Source organism: Homo sapiens, chromosome 18 (genome assembly GCF_000001405.40).
Source record: "Homo sapiens chromosome 18, GRCh38.p14 Primary Assembly".
Classification (NCBI taxonomy): Eukaryota; Metazoa; Chordata; class Mammalia; order Primates; family Hominidae; genus Homo; species Homo sapiens.
This window is the reverse complement of record NC_000018.10, coordinates 28,787,715-28,795,421: the sequence shown is the minus strand read 5'-3', so window position 1 is coordinate 28,795,421 and position 7,707 is coordinate 28,787,715.

The window sequence follows — 7,707 nt, the reverse complement described above, 5'->3', positions numbered from 1 at the left end:
CCCGTGGCCTTACAAATCAGAATGTAAATATTTGCTTGGGGAATTCAGAGAAGTAACTGTCTGATTAGATAATTGTCATACTAATGAGGTTGAGAGGCATTTGATCTTATTTTCCCCACATATAATAATTACAATTGCCTTGCTGGATATATTTGAGACTCTGTTACATTGCTCCCTTCCAGTCTGAAATTTTGCAGAAATAATGTTAGCCTATAATGGCAAATATTTAACCTTTCTCTAGTGCTCAACTTAAACCTCTAGCCCCAAGAAATGAGCATCTCCAGAATACAATTCTCATACTATGCCCACACATGGCCTATGTTTTGGCTCATGCTATTATCAACTGACGTGTCACTTCCATTCCCATGTGATTTTTATTCCTCCTTTACAGTCAGCTATTTAATGAACTATTTCTGAGTTTGCTTATTTTTCCCCTTTCTGATCAGTTTCTGGCAACAGTAAACATCCTTTATTATCCTCAAATAGTTTCATGTGAGTCAAACTGTTCGTTTTCTCACTTTAAGAGACACCAAAGACAAAACCCATTTCAGGAAGACCACAAAAAATCACAATGTACACAAGTTACAGTTATTTTAAAAGTCATTGCTGTGTCAAGACTACCTCCCTGACGTGTCAGAGAAAAATATGTTCTCAATAAGCTCATGGCATTTTGTGTAACAATATGCCGTGGGTTTGTTTGGAAACTAAAAACTCATATCCTTATATTGTTCAAGGTTTCTATGACTCAGAATCCTGGTTTTTGAGCATTGCTTCTTGTGACCACGTAATCCAGGTTTGGAATCTTGGAACCCAACCAAATAATTTTTAATGAGTAAATCAGGTGCATTCTCAAAGAAGTGAAATTGAACTGAATATTATTTAGTGTCAAAATGAGGGAAGAGACTACACACTGATCTAGATAACATGCCTTTCTGGAATTACTGAACTAGATAAATTGCTTTAAAATCTATATCAAAGAAATAGCTTTATCTCTCAAAATTAGCTTTATCTTAACTAGATAATACTTTCAGCATGGACTGCATCAAATACCTCCATATCATCACATGATGAGTAACTTATATGCACTAAATGTATTCGTATAGATTGCCTTTTTAAAGATTATTGGGTAGTTAAATTATAAGCCATGTCTCAGGCTGCTTTATTCGTGGAAGCTTGTTGTATTAGCCAACATAGGCTAGATTATGCTGTGGAAACAAAGAACCCTCATATCTCCTGGATTTATAACAATAAAGGCAAATCCTATTAGAAGTCCATCAAAAGCTGGCTGTGATTCTGACCCATGTTGTATTCACTCCACACAATACCAAGACTACTGGATCAGTCTCTAGCTGGAATGATGCCAATTGTGACAGAGGGCAGGGTGCAGGATGTAGTGCCTGCTGGCCTTAAAGCTTTTGCTGAGAATGGCACATATTATTTCAACTGACATTTCCAGAACCCAAGCAATCATACAGCCCCAGGAAAGTTCAACAAGATAAGGGTGTGTCTTAGATTGGTTTCCCTGGAGTGGACCCTGAGATGAGGATTTCAATGCAAGTCATTTATAAAGGATGAGTTCCCAGGGAGACCATGGTGGACAAAAGAGGACATGGAAGAGAACAAAGCCTGGCAAGGGTGAGATCTGAGGTAGAAGCAAAGGGAAGGTTAAGCTTCAGTTTGACCCCAGGGGGAGACCTCTGGTGCATAGATTACTTCCCACGAAAGGTAAGGAGGCTGGGCTTTCACACTCCTTCACCTCACAATCATTGGTTAGTAGCTGTGGGATAGGCACCCTGGGCTCTCTAAGCTTGTGAGGCCAATATCTCCGGTAGCAAAAACAGTCCACACAAATATAGCATCTGGTGTTGGTCTTTGAAAGCCCCTGAGAGGTGGGCAGGGGGCAGCATTCATAAAGGCAAAATGGGATCTTAAGAGCGCCCAAGGAAGCACAGCACTTTCAGTGTTTGCTAGAAGAAACAAAATCATCCTCTGGAGGAAAGCAAAGGGAAGAGGCACCAAACATGGGTGAACAAAAATACAGTCTACTAGAGTCAGCCTAGAGTCAATAACATTTGCTTCTATTTCTCTGACACGACAAAACAACACAATACTCCTATCCAATCCCTGCTTCAAGTTCAAAGCCCAAGATCTCTGAGTGATGCCTGGGAGTCTCTACAACGTGTCTAGACACTGGAACCAAAAGGAGGATTTGTCTGACCAGTCTCAACAATGTGTATGGGGACACACAAATATGTACACAAACAGATTATACAACTGTGGAATAGACATGGTAGGAATATAGAATATATACAACATATTAAAATATCCAATATAATAGAACATTTGCTATTTGTCTTGTCATTTTTTCCCATTTATGAGTACTCACATGCCCCTTACATTAAATTAAATTAAGTCAAATTAAATTAGTTTAATTGTGGGTACTTTGAGCCTATAAGGCTTTTATGGAAGAGTCATATTTCAACCTCTTTTTCCTGAGCCATTGTTTCCTGAGACATCTGAAAGGTCTTCCTGGGTTCAATATAAGCCATTCATGGGCTTTAGCTCAGGGTGCAATTGGCAGACTCTTGACTTTGTCCTCATCCTAGGCTGTCACTCAAAAGGCCCCTTAGTGTTATCTTGTACTGATTAGATGAGAATCAATAGCAGCGTTCAACCTGGCAAGTCCCTGAATTTCTGAACTCTCAAAATGCTCTTTATTTCTGCTTGTAAACAGGCCAATACTTTTTTTTCTTTTTTTCTGAGATCGCTGCTTTGTTATACAGGTATTACCTTTCTAAAAAAAAAAAAAAAAAAAATCCAATACAAGCTGACTCATGTTACAGGAAGTCTCTTTTCCTACTTTCTTTTTCTTTCGTTCTTCTTTCGTTTTCACCTAAAGGAATAAGCTCATTAGGGACATTGTCTACCTTTCACTATATTGCAAATAATAGGAGATTTTTTACTTCCCAAAATGTTTCCCACAGTGTAATATTAATAACCATTTTTCTAGCTTCAGATAGATAGCAATTTGTTTCACTGTACATAGCCCAGTTTCCAAAATCAGTGCCACCTAATCTAGATTTTGTTGTTGTTGCAACATCCACTTTATTACTGATTTCTGTATTTTCAGGATAAGTAAGTTATGCTGCAGTTACAAAGAAGTCCCAAATCTCAGTAGTTTTCAATAAAAAAGTACATTTATTTTTCATGAGCCTTCGGTTGGCTGAGATTCTGATCCATATTTTCTTTCTCCAAAATATTGACAATGCTTCACTTCAATAACATTCATGTGCCATTGGCTTTACCAAATAGTACAGCCATGCCCGCATTTAATAGGGTAGGGAGACTTAGTCTTCCAGAGGGAGGCACACATGGAGTGCAGGGAGCACCAATTACAGGAGGCAGTACAACAATGTTCCACAGTGACCACATCTCTTAGACCAAAATCCATTTAGCAGCTCAGGATTCACTCATATCTCACAGATCACACTGGGGACATTATTTTAAGAAACAAGTAAGTATGTCTTTAATAGAAATGCCATACACACTTGTGCTTCAGAGGACTCAAAAAAACATATGATGACCATGGATCCCAATTGGCTCTCATAATAAAACTGCCTAGTGGATACATGTGAGCCCAAACCTGCTATCTATATCATGTGTGGCCATTTTTATCATGATGAGTTCCACTCCATTTGATTTTCCATAAAGAAGCCTGCCTTTTCTAGGATGATAGCAAACTCTGTGAGTTACACAGCAGAGCTTTATAGCCGTGGAAACAAGAAAGCCTACCAGGATTGTGCCTTTCCATAAAAGGAAATTTTGAAATATCACCTTTATATTGGTCAGTCCCCTACAAATCCATGTGTCCTCTTTCTGAAATTTCTTCTATAAAGCACTCCACATGCCTATAATCTATCTTTTCAATCACAGTATGCACCTATCACAAATTAGAACCTTTTATAAATTTATATGAAATGGGGATACTATATATGCTCCTGTCTCTTACATGGAAAATGAAATGTCAGAGTCTTTCTTTGTTTTTTTTTTCTTTTTCTCTCAAAATTTTAACAATGTAGAGTTTGACTTGCATGAGTCAGCACCTCACAAGGCTCATTGTATTTGGCATTACTTCCCCAGAAGACCTCAGAAAATTAATATTCAGATGATGAAATTCAAAAAAAAAATCTTTTGGAGCTGCTGTCCCAACCTCATTCGTGTGCTGGATTTCTAAATTTTAATTTAGCCAACAGGGTTCTCACTCTCTGCTTTTCTCTGTGTGATTATCCTTGCCTTTTCAACTTATTTCAACCTTTCTCCGTGTGATTATCCTTGCCTTTTCAACTTACTTCAACCTTTCTCCTATCCAATTATAACTGGTTTCCTATGTCATAGATCTGATGTTTTTAATCTCCAATCCTTTCATTTTTCCTCTACCTCTTCAACTCCATTGTAGATTTCACAAGAAATCTTCAAATATCTGTAGAGAGGGAGATATTCAAGCAGCTCTTGATTCTGGAAAGCAAGCATGAACAGCACAGTGCAATTACTCAGGTTCTGGAAAAAAAGTGAAATTCACAGTGCACAATACCTTTCAAAAGATAAAGTTTAAGGTTGAACTTAAATTCTTAAATTGAGAGAAAGATGGAAATTGTTTTAGTGTATTTTCTTCAACTAAAGACAAAAAAGATTGGAAGTAAGGCAGACAAGTCTCAAAAGTAGAAGCATAACAGGCGAGCTTTCAGACAGAATAGACAAAGGTGCTTGCCAGAGACTTCATTCTTCCCCTCCACAGAAAGGAAATGAGCCCTCAATAAATTATTTTGTCATCAGTAGAATCAAGTGTTGAGATAAAACTGCAGAACAATCTGTAGTTGCCTGATGAAAATGTCCATGTTCTTGGAGTCTCATGTCTGCATTAAACTAAACCTAACATGCTCTGAAACATAGTGATACATAGAAAAACAAATGAACTTGTGTCAAAATCCTGTACCAGCAGCATGTACTCATGTATTTTAATGACTACTTCCCAGTGGAATTTGTCACTCTCAAGTTTATTTTTGAGCATGCAAGCATAATAGTATTAGGATGCAAAAATGATTTGTTGCATACATTTGAAGTTCTTTGCCTTTAATAAAGACATAATCAAAGCCCAACGATTACTGCAAATTATCATGTGATTGATGTTTAATGTCACTGTGTCCTGTCAAAGTTCAGGATAAACTCTACAGATTATTAAAACTCATGATCTTTTATCCATGAATAGGAGAACATTAAAAAATTGAAAGTCTTTACAGAGGTCACATACTGGAAAATGAGCAAGGTTGATGTATTAAACTATTTTAAGAGAAAAAACTGCAACTTTCTAAGAGTATTGAAATGTTGAAGTCACATACTACAGCAGTTGGAATAGATGAGGTTATGTCACCGAGACCATACACGCAATTCTCGGTGTGTTAATATAGTACATGTAACATTTCTTGCTCATGATACGTATCCATCGTGAGTTTACTAAGGGGTGTCTGCATAATTTGCCCTTAGTCAAGAACTCTGTCTGCACAGTTTACTCTTAGTCGAGGAAGAGCGACTGTCTGCAACTTTACTGAGCCCTTGGCAGGACAGGAAAAAAAAAAAAAAAGACAGATTTTGAGGGTCTCAAATTAGCAAACAAATGTTCTGGCACAGCTATCGGAATCAATCACATCACATGAGTCATTCCCTCACCCACGACAAAGGCAGAATTGTAATCCTATGATGTCCCTCAGAGGAGGGAAGCCTGAATTATTTGGCAAACTGTACAAATAAATCCCATACAAATATTTCAGCCACTAACAGACAGAATTTCAGTGGATCAGGTGTTTTTTATTAACTGAATTGGAGCACGTAAATGCTCCCCTTGTTATGAGGAGTAAAAGGTAACAGTTTATTTTTGCCAACTGATTAAACTCCACAATGGATAACATTATATTAGGCAATAGGTAGAAAGCTGCCTTCACTTTGCCATGCTTTTCTGCTTGGTCTTTGTGTCCTTCAATGGCTATGTTGCTCCGTGGTGAGAGGAGAATCCAGGTAAAACATACCAATTCTTTCAGGTTTTTAGAACATCATTTCTTTTATTCTATGCCTCTATGATGAGTTATAAACTGAATCTCAGACACCTCTAAATATTCAGCAGACCTTTACAGAAATTAGGGAATACAAATGAACTCTGAAGAAAGATAACATAATTAAATCCCTAAAATAATTTTACAAATTAATAACCCTAATTGGGTAGCTTACAGGGGGACACCTGGGGCCCTTTTGTTTAATACCCTTGCTCTGGTGAAGAATCTGAAAGCCATGCACTACTTTGTATGGAGCCTTGGAGATCCTTGAAGGTACTATTCACCTTAGTCTCTCACTCCATGATTCATTCAGGCTGACGGCTGCCATCCAGTTCTTTGTGTTAAATAGTTTATTGAAGTTACTTTTTCCTCTCCTCATGGCTTTCTCTTCTGACTCCAAAATGCAGACATTGTGAACGTCCAAAAGTAGACTGAGGGAGAAATCTATGGAGTACGGTGCATTATGAAAATTTTCAGTATTTAGAAAATAGTATGACATAAAATTTGACACCATAATATCACCTTTAGAAATACATAATAAACCTATAAATGCTTATATATATGAATATTTATTATATATTTATTATATAGTGAGTATATAACCAAAGAATGAATAGAAAAATGAACATCTGAAAAAGTAAAACACCAGTGGTCTCACAGCATGCTCAAGGCAAAATAAATAATTTTACTTGAAAGGATTTCAAACTCACTGTTGATGACTGTTATTTACTTCAAGCATGAAAAAATGGCAATTCTAAAACTAAATGTATACTTTTGGCTGTGTTTGGATCTTTTAATTAATCCATTGGTGTCTCTCTAAACAAATTCTAAGATTATAATTTCAAAATAAGTGTCTGAAAATTTAGATAGCTGGAGGAACAATAGTTTTTGTTTTCTACTTTCTGAGTAAGTTTATGTATAAAATTACTTATATATTAGTAGTAGCTTGGCTTTAAGTTTGCCAGTGTTTTTCTTTTGTGTGTGTGTGTGTGTGTGTGTGTGTGTGTAATGTTTATACTTCATTAAGAATTCACAGGGAAAAATAAACATTTCCTACTAGCAATGAGAATTCTACAGAAGTAGTAAGATATCTGCAAATGTTAAATGTCTCCACACTTTCTGAGGGTTTGCAATTTTTTTAAAAAAGCATATTTTTCAAAACCTTAAAACAGTTTTATCTAGGTCACCCCTTCTCCTGGCTAGATGTTAACAGCTAGCCCTGCAGGAGGTATAATATTGAGTAGATGGGCTTGGCAGAGGGAGCTCTTCTTGCTAAAACCTGCAACGTAACACAAAAACTAATGGACTGCACAGAGAGAAGAATAAAACAAAGTTCAAGGTCAATAAACCAGATAAGAAAATGCAAGGGGTTCATGAAAGAATGGAGTGGGAATCAGAAGTTGGTACATATTGAAGGAATAAGAGCCAGGAAAGTGGAAAGTCAGGAAGATGACAGGTGGGAAGAAGCTGAGGGAGTTCCCTCTCTGCTGGTTTCTATTAGCACACAAGAGAAGGACATAGCACGGGAGGAGTAGAAGTAGCAGATGAGACCAAGCTTGCAAACAACCTGCCTTTCAGAAGAGGGCTCTGTTCACTGAAAATT